This window comes from Homo sapiens, chromosome 2 (genome assembly GCF_000001405.40).
Source record: "Homo sapiens chromosome 2, GRCh38.p14 Primary Assembly".
Classification (NCBI taxonomy): domain Eukaryota; kingdom Metazoa; phylum Chordata; class Mammalia; order Primates; family Hominidae; genus Homo; species Homo sapiens.
In genome coordinates, this window is record NC_000002.12 from 207,803,179 (window position 1) to 207,821,287 (window position 18,109).

The 18,109-nt window shown below is 46.5% G+C and overlaps 2 annotated features.

Annotated features, from left to right (window-relative positions):
* Nucleotides 7,827-8,648: an enhancer, noted in NCBI's record as "OCT4-NANOG-H3K27ac-H3K4me1 hESC enhancer chr2:208675729-208676550 (GRCh37/hg19 assembly coordinates)". NCBI's record gives its function as "activates a minimal SCP1, AML or CMV promoter by ChIP-STARR-seq in naive and primed H9 embryonic stem cells {active_cell/tissue: H9 hESC(naive and primed)}" and the evidence as "EXISTENCE:reporter gene assay evidence [ECO:0000049][PMID:30033119]".
* Nucleotides 7,967-8,261: a silencer, noted in NCBI's record as "tiled region #8784; K562 Repressive non-DNase unmatched - State 3:PromF". NCBI's record gives its function as "represses a minimal TATA promoter and a strong SV40 promoter by Sharpr-MPRA in K562 cells {active_cell/tissue: K562}" and the evidence as "EXISTENCE:reporter gene assay evidence [ECO:0000049][PMID:27701403]".

Below are 18,109 nucleotides of genomic sequence, written 5' to 3' on the forward strand. Positions count from 1 at the left end.
ATGTATGCATAATATATACACAACATACATATATGCATACATAATATATATACACCATATTTTGTTTATCCATTCATCTGTTGATGAACATTTGGGTTATTTCTTTTTTTTTTTTGAGACAGAGTTTTGTGCTCTTGTTGCCCAGGTTGGACTGCAATGGCACGATCTCGGCTCACCGCAACCTCTGCCTCGTGGGTTCAAGCGATTCTCCTGCCTCAGCCTCCCCAGTAGCTGGAATTACAGGCATGTGCCACCACGCCTGGCTAATTTTTTTGTATTTTTAGTAGAGACGGGTTTCTCCATGTTGGTCAGGGTGATCTCGAACTCCCGACCTCTGGTGATCCGCCTGCCTCGGCCTCCCAAAGTGCTGGGATTACGGGCGTGAGCCACCGCGCCCAGCCCATTTGGGTTATTTCTGTCTTTTGGCTAGCGCGAGTAATGCTGCTATAAGCATTGGTGTGCAAATAACTGAGTCCCTGCTTTTAATTCTTTAGGGTATATACTCAGAAGTGGAATTGCTGGATCATGTGGTAATTCTATGTTAACTTTTTAACTATGTACTGCAAAATATTCCATTGTATTTTTCACATATTTTTGGCAATTTAAGTTCTGTTTTCTTTTTTTTGTTTTTGTTTTTTGTTTTTTGAGACTGAGTCTCGCTCTGTCCCCCAGGCTGGAGTGCAGTGGCGGGATCTTGGCTCACTGCAAGCTCTGCCTCCCGGGTTCACGCCATTCTCCCGCCTCAGCCTCCCGAGCAGCTGGGACTACAGGCACTCGCCACTATGCCTGGCTAATTTTTTGTATTAGTAGAGACGGGGTTTCACCGTGTTAGCCAGGATGGTCTCGATCTCCTGACCTCGTGATCCGCCCGTCTCGGCCTCCCACAGTGCTGGGATTACAGGCGTGAGCCACCGCGCCCGGCCCACTAAGGAGCTATTATTTAATATCTGATTTAGTCTTCATAATAATCCTGCAAGTGAAGTATCATCATCCCCATTTCACAGTGTGGAGGGCTCAGGACAGCTGAGTCCCACACTGAAGGTCACCGTTGTGATAGAGAGTGAGCTGGGAATTCATCCCTGTCCCTTTGGTGGAGCCACCATTATCCTGATCTGTGCTCATGGAATCCCTGACACTGGATCTGGGGTATAACAAGAACCGTGGCCAGGAATGGATGACTTTGCAAGCATGTGTGTGTGCAGAAGGAGACAGGAAGGGGCTCCCGTGGTTTTGCTTGGGGCCCTGTGGTTGGATGTGGGAGCCCAGGTTGGGTGGCTGTGTGTCCATGAGCCCCTAAAGTCCACAGCCTCACTGGCAGAGCACCTCCTACTTCTGGGACTGCCTTGGGGCTGGAGGAGCCTCTGTGACTGCACCATGTCTCCAGGTTGTCATCCCTTGGGAATGGTCCTGCTTATCGCCTCTGTGAAGCTGCCTCCTAACTGTAGCCCATTGAGATCTTTGCCTTTTCCAACTCTAACCACACCAGTTTGTAACCCATACTTAACCCTTTTCCCGCTTGCCCCGAGAATACTCACAGGCAGCACTTGTGCAGCATTTACCCCCAAGATAACTTTGCCACAAGTATCTCGCTTTTATTATTATTTTTGCATCACTCTAATATATTGAATTTGGAAACAAAAGACATCATTCTATTTTTAACATTCTGTTTTTAGAAACAGTATTTCCATTTACAAAATATAGTAATTCTCAATCACTGAAAATGTCCAATCCTAGAAAACATAGCATTCCTATGCATGATGTTAACATCATTCTGGAATGGTTGTTGGCCGGATTCTTTTGATGAATCTGATTTTTCTGAAATAGATAATTCTGATGATTCAGACAATTCTGATGTTAGTTCTATTTAGAAATAACTCTGAGAACAGTTCTTTTTTTTTTTTTCTTTTGAGACAGAGTCTGACTCTGTACCCCAGGCTGGAGTGCAGTGACGTGATCTCGGCTCACTGCAGCCTCTGCTTCCTGGATTCAAGCTATTCTCCTGCCTCAGCCTCCCAAGTAGCTGGGATTACAGATGTGCACCAAGAGGACCGGCTATTTTTTTTTTTAATTTTTTTTTAATTTTTTTTTTTAGTAGAGATGGGGTTTCGCCATGTTGGCAAGGCTGGTCCCGAGCTCCTGACCTCAAGTGATCCATCCTCCTCGGCCTCCCAAAGTGCTGGGATTACAGGCATGAGCCACTGCACTGGCCTGAGAACAGTTTTTATATTTTATTTTTACATTGAAGTCAGTCAGATTTGCTTCAGCCTCAAATATTGTGTTTATGTGAAATTAAATGAGTGCTGGCAGTGAGCTGCACTTTTTTTTTCTAAATGGGAAAAGGGTTAATAAGGGCTTATGTTCATTCTTGTATTGCTCTCTAAACTTTGTTCCTTGTCACAGAAGAAAAATAGTCACCCCTTTTGAGGCCAGAGACCTGGGTTACACTTTTTTTGTACACAACCCTTCCTAAATAGAGCACTAGATTCAACTATTGACTGACAAAGTACATTTTTAGTGGACACTCAGAGCTTCTGTAAGAGTCAGCTAAGAATAATTGGTATGAACAGCTGTTCTCATAGAAGAGGAAAAAGAGAAGGACAAACCCCTCAAACTCAGTTTTATGATTCCGGAACGAATGAAAGTGTGCTGTGTATCCGTTTTTATTTATTTATTTATTTACTTACTTATTTATGAGACTGGGGTCAAGGTCCCACCAGCACTCAGGCTGGAGGGCAGTGGCATGATCACAGCTAACTGCAGCCTCAACTTATTGGGCTCCAGTGATCTTCCTGTCTCAACCTCCCGGCTAGCTGGGACTACAGGTGCATGCCACAATGCATGACTCATTTTAAAATTTTTATTATGTAGAGTCAGAGGTCTTGCTTTCTTGCCCAGGCTAGTCTGGAACTCCTGGCCTCAAGAGACTCTTCTGTCTTGGCCTCTCAAAGTTCTGGGATTATAGGCAAGAGCCACCATGCCTGGCCTGTATCTGTTTTTAAATGCAGCCAGCAGAGCTTTAAGGGGAACCCTACCCCGCTTTGCCCAACACACACTTTCAGCTATCATTTCTGTCATTCTCATCCTAACTTCTGGGGTGTAGCTAGTTTTCTAGCACCTCCTTTGAAAACTGGGGGTGCCTTAGGGAATCTGGAGGCCATGGTGGTGGGAGTGGTGGCAGGAAGATGAGGGGAAGGACCAACATTTTCCTTGGAGGCCTGAAAATTGTTTTATGCATTTTTTTTTTTTTTTGAGAGGGAGGCTTGCTCTGTCACCCAGGCTAGAGTGCAGTGGCACAATCTCGGCTCATTACAACCTCTGCCTCTTGGATTCGAGCGATTCTTCTGCCTCAGCCTCCCAAGTAGCTGGGACTACATGCATGCACCACCATGCCTGGCTAAGTTTTTTTTTTCAGTAGAGACTGGGTTTCGCCATGTTGGCCAGGCTGGTCTAGAACTCCTGAGCTCACGTGATCCACCCGCCTAGGCCTCCCAAAGCGCTGGGATTACAGGCATGAGCCACCCTGTGCCCAGCCTATTTTATCCTTTTAATGATCATAATTTAAAATAGCATATAGAATTATAATTCAAATCCTGTAGGGGTTTTCTCTTTTTTCAACTTTGTGAATCATTTTGTTTTATTTTCTTTTTCTGACCACATTTTCTTTTTTGTGTGAGTGATTAAAAAAAATTTTTTTTATTTCCATAGGTTTTTAGGGAACAGGTGGTATTTTGTTACATAAGTAAGTTCTTTAGTGGTGATTTGTGAGATTTTGGTGCACCCATCACCAGAGCAGTATACACTGAACCCAATTTGTGGTCTTTTATCCCTCCCTTCCCACCTGCTTCCCACCCTTTCACCCCAAGTCCCCAAAGTCCATTGTGAGGCTGATGGGGGACTTGCTTTCTGTGATTTGCTTGCAGATTTTTGGCCATAGAGATTTGTTGTGATTTCTAAGCCAGCTGCTCTCATCTGTGAAATTGTCCCCAGGCAATCTTCTGTTACCTGTGTAAGTTACAGAAGTCCTCATTGAAAGAAGCAATGCACCTTGAAAATGGAATCCTTGCCAGGTGCGGTGGCTCATGCCTGTAATCCCAGCACTTTGGGAGGCTGAGGTGGGCGGATCACCTGAGGTCAGGAGTTCGAGACCAGCCTGACCAACATGGTGGAACCCTGTCTCTACTAAAAACACAAAATTAGCCAGGCATGGTGGCACATGCCTGTAATCCCAGCTACTTAGGAGGCTGAGGTAGGAGAATCGCTTGAATCCGGGAGGCGGAGATTGCAGTGAGCCGAGATGGCACCACTGCACTCCAGCCTGGGCAACAAGAGTGAAACTCCGTCTCGAAAAAAAAAAAAAAAGAAATACCTGGCCCCAACATGTATTTCCCTCCCAGGTGTGGAAGGCTTTTCCCCTCATTGCACAGATAATAAGGCCAAGTATATCTGATACTGGTGGGCTGGGGGAGGTCCCCAAATGCCGGTGGTGTCCAGGCTCTTGACATCATGGTGTGAAGGAATTCAAGGATGAGTCAGAAAACAGTGAAAGTACAGAGATTTGTCACAAAGTGAAAAGGACACACTCAGGAAAGGGAGGGCGGTGGACTCAAGAAAGTCTCACAGTGAGGTTTAAGGTTTCTATTTTTATGGGGTTCTTTAACCAAGGGATGGGTTTTTCATGAAGATTTCTGGAAAAAGGTGGAGATTTCGTGGAACTGTGGGGCCACCTTTTTTTTTTTTTATGAGGCAGAGTCTCACTCTGTCGCCCAGGCTCGAGTGTAATGGCGTGATCACAGCTCACTGCAACCTCTGCCTCCTGGGTTCAAGCAATTTTCCTTCTCAGCCTCCCCAGTAGCTGGGATTACAGGCACCTGCCACCACGCCTGGCTATTTTTTAAAAATTTTAGTAGAGGTAGGGTTTCACCATGTTGGCCAAGCTGGTCTTGAACTCCTAACCTCAAATGAACTGCCCACCTCTGCCTCCCAAAGTGCTGCAATTATAGACCTGAGCCATCGTGCCCAGTCTGGGGCCACCCATTTTTACATCAAATATGGGTGTTCCCGGAGCCGTGCTGGTGCTGGTGGTGGGTGTGCATTTAGTATGCTAATGAGCACATAATGAGGTCCTAAGAGAAACTGAGGTCAAACCCAGTGCCATGTTAGTCGGTCTTAGCCAGTATGGTCCACACCCTGGTTACTCAGGGGCTTAGCTGTCCCTACCTTCGGCAGCTATTTCAACAGTTTCCTCTTGCTAGTAATGTGAAATTGTTGCCTAGAATTTTCTATTCTCCTGCAACCACCCTGTCCTGTTTCATATTTACGCCATATTTACCCAGACTGTGGTCCGCAAGCAGAATGTGTGTGGAGAGAGGTTGCCGGGATCACTCAAGGAAAATGGAAAAGACTGTTTTTCTTTTCATTGAAAATCCTCCTCAGGAGGTACTCAAAGGCTGGTAACTTGCAAAGAAGTCTTTCTGAAGCAACAAGATTTCTGAGCTGACTTGTTCCCTGGCTCACGGCAAGGATCAGTCATGTCATGGAAGATGGTACCTCCAATGTGAGAACCACTAGCCACAGGAGGCTACTGAAATTTAAATCAATTAAAGTGAAGTCAAATCAAATATTCATTTCTTCAGTTGCATTAGCTACATTTCAAGTGCTCAATAGCACATGTGACTAGTGACTGCTATGCTGGATGAGCTGCTATAGGGCACTTCCATCATCCCAGAATGTTCTACTGGACAGTGTTATTCTAAGGCAAACCACTCAGCAGAGGCTGCCTAACTGGTCCCAGCAGTGGTGAGCTGCACTGTGGCTCCAGGACCCCTAGTGAGGCTAGAGTGAGTATACATGAATAATGCTACATGTATAGTGCAGGTTTGGCCATTGGAATGAACACTTAATGACACTTTCAACTAACACTTATTTCTTAAACATAGCACTTAGTTATATGTTATTCCAACAAGCATCAGAAACCCCAGTACTGTGCAAGACACAATTTCTGTCCCTTGGAGTTCATAACCTTCAAGTTGAGGTAGGAAATAAATAATAATAAGCTGTGATAAGCTGAAAAGTGGGCATTTGCCAAGGGGCAATAGATATTTTGGAGAAAGGGATCAAGGAAGATTCTCAAAGAAAGGGATATGTGGGCAGTTTAAAAGAGTGGCTAGAAATTTGTTAATATGTGGGGCCTGGATGCGGTGGTTCACACCTGTAATCCCAGCACTTTGGGAGGCCAAGGCGGGTGGATCATGAGGTCAAGAGATCGAGACCATCCTGGCCAACGTGGTGAAACCCCATCTCTATTATAAATACAAAAATTAGCTGGGCATGGTGGCACATGCCTGTAGTCCTAGCTACTTGGGAGGCTGAGGCAGGAGAATCACTTGAACCCAGGAGGCGGAGGTTGCAGTGAGCCGAGATTGCGCCACTGCACTCCAGCCTGGCAACAGAGCGAGACTCCATCTCAAAAAAAAAAAAAAAAGAAAAAGAAATTTATTAATAGGCTGGGGGAAATGTCCAAAATAGAAGAAACTGCAGAACACTTTGGAGAACAGTAATATGTTTGGTGTGGCCGGGCGGGGTGGCTCACGCCTGTAATCCCAGCACTTTGGGCGGATCACGAGGTCAGGAGAACGAGACCATCCTGGCCAACATGGTAAAGCCCCGTCTCTACTAAAAAAAATACAAAAATTAGCTGGGTGTTGTGGCACGTGCCTGTAATCCCAGCTACTCGGGAGGCTGGGGCAGGAGAATTGCTTGAATCAGGGAGTCGGAGGTTGCAGTGAGCCGAGATCGTGCCACTGTACTACAGCCTGGCGACAAAGCAAGACTCCATCTCAAAAAAAAAAAAAAAAGTTTGGTGTTAGAGGAATGTGGAGCAGGAATGAGAATGGCAAGACCAGCCACCACATTTGCAGGGCCTGTGCAAAATGCAAACGTGGAGACCCTTTTGCTCAAAAATTATTCAGAATTTCAAGATGGAGACAGGTGAGCATTAAATCCAGTGAGCACACAGGTTGTGTGCTCATGAACCAAGCTATCCTGGTGGCAGGAGATGAAGTTAAAGAGAAAGGTAGGCCCATATTATCAAAGGCTTTCCCATTCATGCTCTGGAGCTTGGGCTGTGTCCTGAAGGTGGCAGAGCCATAAGAGATTCTTAACCTGGGGTAAGGCAAGATCGGGCTTGCATTTTTACAAAGACTGTGTTGGGGGCAGCACGGAAGAAGCTGGCAGGAAGGCTGGCTCAGAAGTGATTGGAATGGTCTGGAGAGAGAGGATGAGAACAGGAGGATGTCCCACTCTCCATGGGACAGAGAGGCGCTGGGGCTCTGAGAGCTATGTAGGTGGTGAACTTGATGCCAGGCCCCAGCTTGGAGAGTGTACGTGCAGCCAGCTGCCTCCTGTTGAGATTTCTTGTGCCTCCTTTGCAAGCTCTGGAGTCTTTGGGTTCCCATTACCCACACAGGACAAAGGCCAATGGTGCAGGGACAGTGGGAAGGGCTGATGCCACACTTGCCACAAACCCCTTGCCAGGAACTCTTTCAGGAATCCCCTTATTCTGTTTTCCAAGACCCTTTGGACTTTCCAAAACTCTTTGGAAAACAGAGTAAATCTAAGGAGAGCCAAAGAATGCCCCCTCTCCTCTCCAGCCCTGGAAATACAGCATTTAGAGGAAGCTAAATCATTGTCGCTTCAATAACCCCTCCCCTGGATTTGCATTTCCTGACTTGGATATTTGTGACATTCCAGGGGTCATTATCAGAAGGTTTCACTTTTCATTTCCTGGTGGAATCAGGACGTGCCCCTTTTGCGGGGAGTGGTGGTGGTGAGGGAGCCGGTGTGCAATGAGGTGTCTGCCAAGAGCACAGGGCAATTCCACAACACAGCAGAGAGGGGTGAAAAGGAAGTGAACGTGCCCTCCTCCACTACCAGACAAAAAGGGAAACCGGTGTGTATTCAGTGCCAGGACTCCTCCCTTTTGATAAAATCTCTCTCCTAATCCTCATTACAATGCCTGAAGGTGTGCATAACGAGCCTTTTACACATGAACGCACTCAGGCTCTCCCAGGACTGGAGCTACCTGCCCATTGTCACTTGTTGACGGGATGTGGATTAGAACTCTGGTCTTCTCATTTCCGGATGGCTGCCCCATCCCCAGCTGCCCCTCCCAGCTGGAGTCAGTGCCTAGGAACAACCATGGGTCATCCTGGGTACAAAATTAGCCAGGCGTGGTGGCACATGCCTGTAATCTCAGCTACTCGGGAGGCTGAGGCAGGAGAATTGCTTGAAACCGGGAGGCGGAGTTTGCGGTGAGCCGAGATCTCACCATTGCACTCCAGTCTGGGCAACAAGAGCAAAACTCTGTCTCAAAAAAAAAGGAAGAGGTGCAATAGTGAGACAGACCATCTTGGGTAAATTCCGACTGTCTTGTTTCTAAGATGAGGGAGACTTTATTTGAACCTTGCAAGGAGCGGACGTCTCCATTAGCTTATTTGTTTTGTTTTGTTTTTTGAGATGGAGTCTCACTTTGTTGCCCAGGCTGGAGTGCAGTGGCGTGAGTGGCAGTGGAGTGCAGTGGTGGCTCGCTGCAACCTCCGCCTCCTGGGTTCAAGCAATTCTCCTGCCTTAGCCTACTGAGTAGCTGGGATTACAGGCACGCGCCACCACGCCCAGCTAATTTTTAACTTCTTAGTAGAGTCGGGGTTTCACCATGTTGGCCGGGCTGCTCTTGAACTCCTGACCTCAGGTGATCTGCCTGCCTCGGCCTCCCAAAGTGCTGGGATTACAAGTGTGAGTCACCGTGCCCAGCTCCATTAGCTTATTTGTAAAAAAGAAATGAAGAAGTAAAAGCTAGGAGTCTGGTCTGACCCAGAGAGAGGGAAAGGGGAGGCATAGTTAACGCATTTGAGGGAAAATAAGAAACACAAGCAACAGAGTGAAGCAGGTATAAGTTGTGAATGGGCTGCACTGGGCTAGGTTGTTGGAAGAAATTTTTAAAGAAAAATGTATGAATATGCTTGTAAGTCTGAGTTGGTGAGGTAATTCTGGACTTTCTAGAAATGTGGGGATATGGTGGGGGCAAGTGGGAGAGGGAGAATGAACTTGGCCATTTATGAGATCAGCCTGACTTCAGGGTGGCTCCCTTGCCCACAGATCGTTCCCTGTACCTTGAGCTCTAACAAGCAGGGGCCACATCTGATTGTTGTAGGGATCTTGGGGGAGGAAGAGAGAGGGGAGAACATTGGGAGAGAAGTCGTGTTTTCCAGCAGAAGGGATATCTGTGCAGATGCTCGGAGGAGAAGGCTGCTTTCTCAGGTCAATCGCTCATTTAAACTGGGATCTTAATTTTACGGATAGGAAAAGATCTCCTAGACATAAAAGTTTTGCTGACAGAAAAAGTCTACTACCCATGGGCTCTGGATGAAAGGCCTGGGCCTCTGCGGGTATCTTCCGGGCTGCAAAAAGGGCTAGGCTGCTCGAAAAGTACTTGAAACAAATAAAACAGTGACTCTAAAACACACCCATATGTCACATTCTTAGAGAAAAGACCTTCTGTAATTAGTTACAAGCTTTAGAGAATAAAATCCAATTTACCTGTCAAAGAGAAAGGCTGAATTGCACCCCTCCCACACTGATTGTTGGGGTGGGGGGGGATATAGCTTGTAGGCCCCTCCCTCCCTATCCCCTACCTTTCTCCTCCCATCTCCTTTATTGAAGAAGACTGAAAAAAAAGTTGGAAAAATCCTCTAAAGACACACAGTGTTCCAAGCACAATCAGACCACTAATTACTGTTAAGCTTGAGCCCCTTTTTGTGCTCTGAGGGGGACTTCGGTGTGCAGCAACCACTCGGGTCTTTTCTTGAGTCCGGGCTAACTCCTGAATAGCAGATTTTTCTTTTCTTCCCCTTTCAACGTTTGCTTGCCAGTGCCTTTCTTTTCCTTCATCTTCATCTTCACCTTCTCCTTTTTCCTTTTCTTTTTTTTTTTTTTTGTGCTTTTTTCCCCCTTCTCCCCCCACCCCCACCCCCGCCCTGCCCTGCCACCCCGTTTTTTTGTGTTTTTTTTTTTTGTTTTTTTTTTGCTTTTGGCTTTTCTGATAGCATTTTTCTTCTGGCGTTGTGTTTTAAATCTCTAAATGAAACTTGACTGTCCCCACGGCCGGTTGGAGAAGCACAAAGGCCTCCCATTCCACTGGCTACAGTAACGCCATTGTGTATCCTAACAATGCACTAATTGGCGGTGACAATTGTGGAGCTGGGGAGGAAGAAGGGGGCCGCCTTTTCCAATCAGGGAGCCACCGAAATAAAAGGAGAGGAGGAGAAGGAGGAGGAGGACGGGAGGCCCAGGTTCCTGATAGAGAGGGGGAATAGACCCACAGAGGGGGTGCAGGGCTCTGGTTTGTACTGGGCTTTCTAAATGAATAATAAAAACAAAGGAGAAAATCTTTATTTTGGAAAAAAAAATATAGATTTTTGCCACAGTCAGCTTTAGACCCCTGGTGGCGGGGATGGGTGAACACCCCTCCAGGACAAGTCTGTGGGAAGGGGGGCCTGAACAGAGCTGACTTCCACAGCCAGCGCTCCTGGGTCTCTGCAAGCTGACGGAAAAGTGGGAGAGGCTGGTGAGAAAAGGCTCCAGGGAAAGTTCTCGGCAGGATGGTTGAAGGTCAGGATGTTGAGAGGCGTGGGGAAGTCCCCATTTCAACCACATTTCCGAATGGGGGGCAAGGCAGACAGGGTAAGGGTTTTGTCATTTATTTTATGGTATATTAGACTCCCAGGAAGTCCAGGAGATGTGAGAGGCTAATCTGACCTTTAAAATGACCCTAAAGAGGAGTGGGGTTGGATGGTAGATAAGAACAAATTGGTGGCCAGATCATGCTGCTGGGGCTCAGGGCCTGCTGGAGAATGCCTGAGAAGCCCTGCAAGGTCACCTGGAGTCTCAGAGCTTTCTAGTTCCAGCCTATGCCCTCCTTCACACACAGTGACTCCCCTTCCCAGACCAGCCTCAAGTGTGCCCTCTCCCGGGGTAGCCGTGAGTACCCGGCCTAAAAATATTTTTTTTTTGTAGAGACAGGGTTTCATCACATTGCCCAGGCTGGTCTTGAACTCCTGAGCTCGGGCGATCTGTCCCCCTTGGCCTCCCGAAGTGTTAGGATTCCAGGCATGATCCACCACACCCAGCCTGTGCCTTTAAATTTCATTTCATGAATATTTAATACTCTAAACTCAAATACTCATCCAATAGAAGAGCTAAATAAAGAGCACTTGAATCCTAAAATTGTTTGGTGGGGGCAGCACTGGAGACAGGTCAGGAATTGGCTCAGGATGCCTTGGGTCTCAATGTGGTGCCAGGGAACAGAGAGGCACTTTTGCACCCTGAGGTTCTCTTTCCACTCAGCTCTGTAGGAACCGACCCTACTTCTTGAGTAGATCCTTTCAATTAGTCAAGTTATTCAACACCCTTGCTAAGTCCCTGTTACTGTGTCAGCAATGCAGCAAGCTCCTGAAGGAGGATGTCATCTCCATTAAAGAAAAAAAAAAAAAAGAAAGCTTTCCTGGCCCTGTTTGAGCTTTGTGAATACAGAGGCCAGGAATGGTGCACCCTCGCAGGGTTCACTCTTTTTTTTTTTTTTTTTTGAGACGGAGTCTCGCTCTGTAGTCCAGGCTGGAGTGCAGTGGTGTGATCGCTGCTCACTGCAAGCTCCGCCTCCCTAGTTCAGGCCATTCTCCTGCCTCAGTCTCCCAAGTAGCTGGGACTACAGGCACCCACCACCGTGCCCGGCTAATTTTTTTGTATTTTTAGTAGAGACGGGGTTTCACCATGTTAGCCAAGATGGTCTTGATCTCCTGACCTCGTGGTCTTCCCACCTCGGCCTCCCAAAGTGCTGGGATTACAGGCGTGAGCCACCACGCCCGGCCTAGGGTTCACTCTTGTTTTTTGTTCTTTGTTTTTTTCTGAGACGGAGTTTTGCTCTTGTTGCTCAGGCTGGAGTGCAACGGCGCGATCTTGGCTCACTGCAAACTCTGCCTCCCAGGTTCAAGTGATTCTCCTGCCTTAGCATCCCGAGTAGCTGGGATTACAGGTATGGGCCACCATGACTGACTAATTTTGTATTTTTAGTAGAGACGAGGTTTCTCCATGTTGGTCAGGCTGGTTTTGAACTCCTCACCTCAGGTGATCTGCCTGCCACAGCCTCCCAAAGTGCTGGGATTAAAGGTGTGAGCCACTGTGCCCGGCTCACTCTTGTTGAATGTTCATGCTGCTGTGTCTATTGAGTGCATAGGCCAGGTGAGATTGCAAAAACATAGAGCCAGGAAGGAAATCGTAGTGAGAAATTGTGCAAGAAAGCCATTGGGTCAGAAACCATGTCTGGCTAACTTAAAGAGAGAACTATTTGTTGCACAGTTCATACAATTTAAGGAATAAAAAAATCAGGTCTTTGGAAGAAGAGAATTCAGGCAGTTTCAATGGAGCAGAAACCAACGGACAACCTCTTCAGAGGCTGTAGTCAATGCATGTGCTTAGCGCTCACAAGATTCAAATTCCTGCTGGCCAAGCTTGAGCTATGGGTCCCCCCCCGAAGGACTTAACTTTGCTGACAGGCCACCAGGACTACGTGGTGGAATAAGGGTGGGATGGCTACTGCCTTCCGAGGGAAAAGTGAGGTGCCATTACCTTCAAGAAGGGGGCAGGGTGCTGGGGAGACTCCACAGCCTTTTACATTTTATCAAGCCTTCAGGAGGGGTACTCACTTTCCTACATTTATGTATGTATGTATGTATGTATGTATGTATGTATGTATGTATGTATGTATGTTTGAGACAGAGTCTCACTCTGTCGCCCAGACTGGAGTGCAGTGGCACAATCTTGGCTCACTGCAGCCTCCACCTCCTGGGTTCAAGTGATTCTCCTGTCTCAGCCTCCCAAGTAGCTGGGATTTCAGGTGCGCACCACCACGCCCGGCTAATTTTTGTATTTTTAGTACAGACAGGGTTTCGCCATGTTGACCAGGCTGGTCTCGATCTCCTGAACTTAGGTGATCCGCCCACCTCAGCCTCCCAAAGGGCTGGGATTACAGGCATGAGCCACCTGTGCTGGCCTAGGAAAGACAATTTTTGACACAATTAGATACATTTGATTTGGAACTGAGATGATAGAAGGAATTATTATCCATTTGTTGAGGTGTGTAATGGCATTGTGACTGCACAGGAGAAAAAAACATTTTTTAGATGCATACTGAGGGATGTGGGGATAAAATGTCATTATATCTGGGATTTGCTTTGTAATATTTCCTCAGAGAAGTAGGAAAAAAAAAACAAGAGTAGATAAAACAAGGTGAAAAACTGAATAAACCTTATTTTTGAAAATATCCACTGAAAACATCTTGTGTGGACTACATTTGAGCTGTTTCGCTGCCTGGGGGACTGGTTTTTGGCAATTTTGGTAGCACTAGTTTCTGGGGTTTGTCCACACACACTGACCACAGCATTGGCATTTGGCACAGTCTGTCAGCTGGTGTCTGGCCTCTGATTTCCCCTTGTCGTGGAATTAAACACACGTGAGCAGGAGCTACTCCCTGAGGCATCGGCTGTCAGGCATCTCTTCCGAGCACTATGGCTGCCCACAGCTGCTTCCTAGGTTGCCTCACTCATGGGCAGCAGTGAGAAAGCCATTTGGGACAGTTGACCCAGTTTAGAATTCAAATTCACTCCCTGTCTATGCAATTGGAATTTATTTCCTCTGCAAAAGGCTTGAATCTCAGAGCAAAATACCTGTAGCTGGGCTTGGGTGTGCATGTGGTGATCCTAATGGAGAAAAACCCTGGTTTATCTTCCTAACAACGTGTACCTTGCAGTATGCTCAGAGCCTGACATTATTAAGAGTGTGTTATTACAATACAGCACAGAATCTCAGGCAATTTGGATGTCCTTGGGCCTAGAATTAATATGTGCTTTGTATAGTCTTATAATTTGGGAGGCAATTTTCCCTAACACAGTGAGAGATGTTCCTTTATACATTTGAGATAATTTAGCTCAGTGTTCATTTGGAAAAATTACTGTGCTAATAGCAGCTCTTCAGCCTCCGAACAACAGACCATGTTGGGAGAGTCTGGACAAAAGCTGGAGGAATTTCCCCCAGACCAACAGCTGCCTGAGGTTGTATGGCAGGATCTGAAATACTGTATGAACTCATGAACACTAGCTGATTTGCTTAAAATCAATACCCCTTAATGGAGGAATATGAAATAAAGGTGGAGAAATAATGAATTTCCACATTGTCCAGGTAAATTGGATGTCAGTGCACATAAATCAGAATCTCTACATGTTCAGCTATGGGAACGATCTGTTCTTCCTGCTAGACTTCTCTGCCCAAGCTACAAGAGAATATATGCAAATGAGGGAGAATAAACTATATCTTTCTCTTAGGTGTGTTTTGTCTCAGGCTTCCTAAGTATTGTGTACCAGGGACCTTTGTTATCGTGGGGGAGGAATCTTCTACCCCAGTCATAATCCAATATAATAATGTAATAAATGCAAAACACTTTTTTCTCAATGAGGAATGTGGTTTCCAACGATGCTACTTTGGAACAAGTCCCAGGTAAAGCCCCAGTAGACCCAAGTTCATTTCTAGTTGCATCCTTGCCCTTTGGCACTTGCTTCCTACACAGACTGATAATCCAGTTATTGCCGCTGTGGCTGCACCTGATGTGCTCAGCATTGTGGGAATGGAGATAGAATAGCATCTTTGGTAGGAGACTCTGAACTCTTTGGCGAAGTAGTCCATCCATGAGGAATATTTGTCATTAGTTATTGACCTCATAAAGGGAGGAAAGGGGAAGAATGCCTTTCTAAGTATCTGTTCACCTGTAGCTGGCAGTTGAAGTTGAAAATCAACAGTTCAACAGATGCCTGGATGTGAATGAACTCTGGTTCATTTTAAAGCCTAGTTCTGGCTGGGCGTAGTGGCTCACGCCTGTAATCTCAGCACTTCAGGAGGCTGAGGTGGGTGGATCACCTGAGGTCAGGAGTTTGAGACCAGCCTGGCCAACATGGTGAAACCTCCGTCTCTACTAAAAATACAAAAATTAGCCGGCCTGGCCAGGCGCGGTGGCTCACGCCTGTAATCCCAGCACTTTGGGAGGCCAAGGCGAGCGGATCACCTGATGTTGGGAGGTTGAGACCACCCTGACAAACATGGAGAAACCCCATCTCTACTAAAAATACAAAATTAGCCGGGTGTGGTGGCATATGCCTGTAATCCCAGCTACTCGGGAGGCTGAGGCAGGAGGATCGCTTGAGCCTGGGAGGCGGAGGTTGAGGTGAGCTGGAGATCGTGCCCTTGCATTCCAGCCTGGACAGCAAGAGTAAAACTCCGTCTCAAAAAAAAAAAAAAAAAAAAAAAAAAAATTAGCCAGGCGTGGTGGCTCATGCCTGTAATCCCAGCTACTCAGGAGGCCGAGGCAGGAGAATCGTCTGAACCTGGGAGGTGGAGGTTGCAGTGAGCCAAGATCGTGTCATTGCACTCCAGCCTGGGAGACAGAGCTTAAAAAAAAAAAAAAAAGAAAAGAAACAAAAAAAACCTCCCCAAAACCTTAGTTCTTCTATGGAAGCAAGATGAATCTGGACATAGCCCAAGATTTCCTGAATTTCCTAAGCCTTTCTGGGCAAGAAGCACCTAGTGATTTTCTATTTTGTTTAATTAAAGTAATTAATTTTTTTGAGATGGAGTTTCGTTCTTGTTGCCCAGGCTGGAGTTCAGTGGCACGATCTCACCTCACTGCAACCTCTGCCTCCCGAGTTCAAGTGATTCTTCTGCCTCAGCCTCCTGAGTAGCTGGGATTACAGGCACACACCACCAAGCCCGGCTAATTTTTGTATTTTTGGTAGAGACAGGGTGTCACCATGTTGGCCAGGCTGGTCTTCAACTCCTGACCTCAGGTGATCCACCTGCCTTGGCCTCCCAAAGTGCTAGGATTACAGGCATGAGCCACCTCGCCTGGTGTGATTTTCTGTTTTAAAAACCACCATCCAGAGTGTGAGGTTCACATTCATTGGATTGGCCTCAACTGGGAGCGGACTCTCACATGCATTTGAGGACCAATCACAGGATAACTGGGAGGAATGAAAAAATGAATGGGAGCATACAGAGCTCTCCTTTTAGGCCAGCTTAGTTGCCTGCAGCTGCGACCTGGACACTTCTATTCACTAATGCTCTCTGGCAATGAGATATACTGATAAATACATGCTAATCACACCCTGGAAGAAAATAAAAGGGGTGTAAAGGTAAGGCTTTATGCAAACAATTGCAGTCCATGAGCAGCAAGTTCCAAAGTGCTGTGACTTTTAGGAAGAAGAGAAGCAACAGCTGTTAACTGCAGGGCAGCTACCGCGGTTCTTCCTTCCAATTCCTCTTGGCACTGTTCCCACTGTGGACCATCAATACAGCAAACAAATGTTTATTTCAAGGCAACTTGCTTCGTTTAAGCTAGTGGTTCTTCACCTCCAGAATGCATCGGGTCACCCAGGGAGCTTTTAAAAAATACAAATACTCAAGCCCCATCCGGAGAGATTCTGAGTCAATTGTCTGTGATGAGGCCCGGAGATTTTGCTTTTATTTCTGTGTTTCGAATGCAGGAACCATGGATTTAAACCATCATGTTGAGCCGTCATCAAAGAACAGGACATGGGAAACAATTAAGGGAGATTCAATCATCCTCATCTCCTGAGGATAAGAGATGAACAAAATAGTGTCTCTTTCCACGGTTCTGACACATTTTTGCCTATCTTCTCTTTGATGTCAGAACTTCCTGGAGTTATCCAGCCTTGCCAGTTTCCTACAACTGGGGGAAAGCTAACCTGTCCTGTGTGATTCATCTGATTATGAATCCAGGCTCTGACTACATCGTATGTCTAGTTTGGTTCAGTGAAACATTAACCCGTTTCTCTTTATCGTGGATTGTGGCAGGTTTCGTGTGACGACGAAGTCCAGTTATTTCTTGGACAGAGTGGGTGTGAGCCCAGGCCGATTTCCTGAGGGTGGAGTGGGAGGGGCCAGGCATAAACTTGTTTAGGTGTGTCTTAGGGTGTAAGGCTCAGGGTTCATCTTGGTAAATGTTTTACCAGAAGAACCTTTTCTAGTCTCTTTTCCATGTCTTCCTTTGGGAAAGTGAGTTTAAATCGAGCCTTCTAAAGGTTCCAAGTGGATAGTTGTTGTACCCCTGGCCTTTTGAGTGGGTGAGGGTCAGCCCAGGCATGAGGCCCTGCAGATATTTCTGATCATTTCTCAACTCCCAGAGAGCTGCCGTTTTGAGGAGGAAGTTTTTCTTTACTCTCCACTCTTTGCTCCTTCTTTGCTCCCAAAATATGGTCCCTGAAGGAAGGACCAACACTTTTGCCTAGCTGGCCACCTGGCACTTGGCCATCTAATTTGGAGAGTGCAGGAATGGTGAAATGGAATCAGGGCCAGAAGGCTTGGGGAAAAGCTTTGGTGGGAGAACATCCATGCATGAGCTTTGGCAGCTTTGTCTTGGAACTGAAAGCAATCATGCTTAGATTCAGCAAATAAGGCCCATGACACTACACCTGCATCTTTTTAAAAGTTACACTACATTTTTCATGAGCATGGAAAGGGCTGATGAGAATATTGTAGGTTGATGAATTGTTTTAAAAGTCTATCTGTAAGATACTTGAGATAATTTAAAAGTGGTTCTTTTTTTTTTTTTTTTTTTTTTTTGAGACAGAGTCGTGCTCTGTCGCCCAGGCTGGAGTGCAGTGGCACGATCTCAGCTCACTGCAGCCTCCGCCTCCAAGGTTCAAGCAATTCTCCCTGCCTCAGCCTCCCCTGAGTAGCTGGGATTACAGGTGCCCACCATCATGCCTGGCTAATTTGTGTATTTTTAGTAGAGAGGGGGTTTTGCCATGTTGGCCAGGCTGGTCTCGAACTCTCGACTTTAGGTGATCTGCCTGCCTTGGGCTCCGCACCTGGCTGTGGCTCATTTTCAATAAAGCTCAAATCTTGACTTTGAATTAATATATAGGGCTCACCTTGGGCTTTCACCACCCCCTCAAGAGCAGTATTTTAATCAAGTTGTTATGAGAAAGGAAAG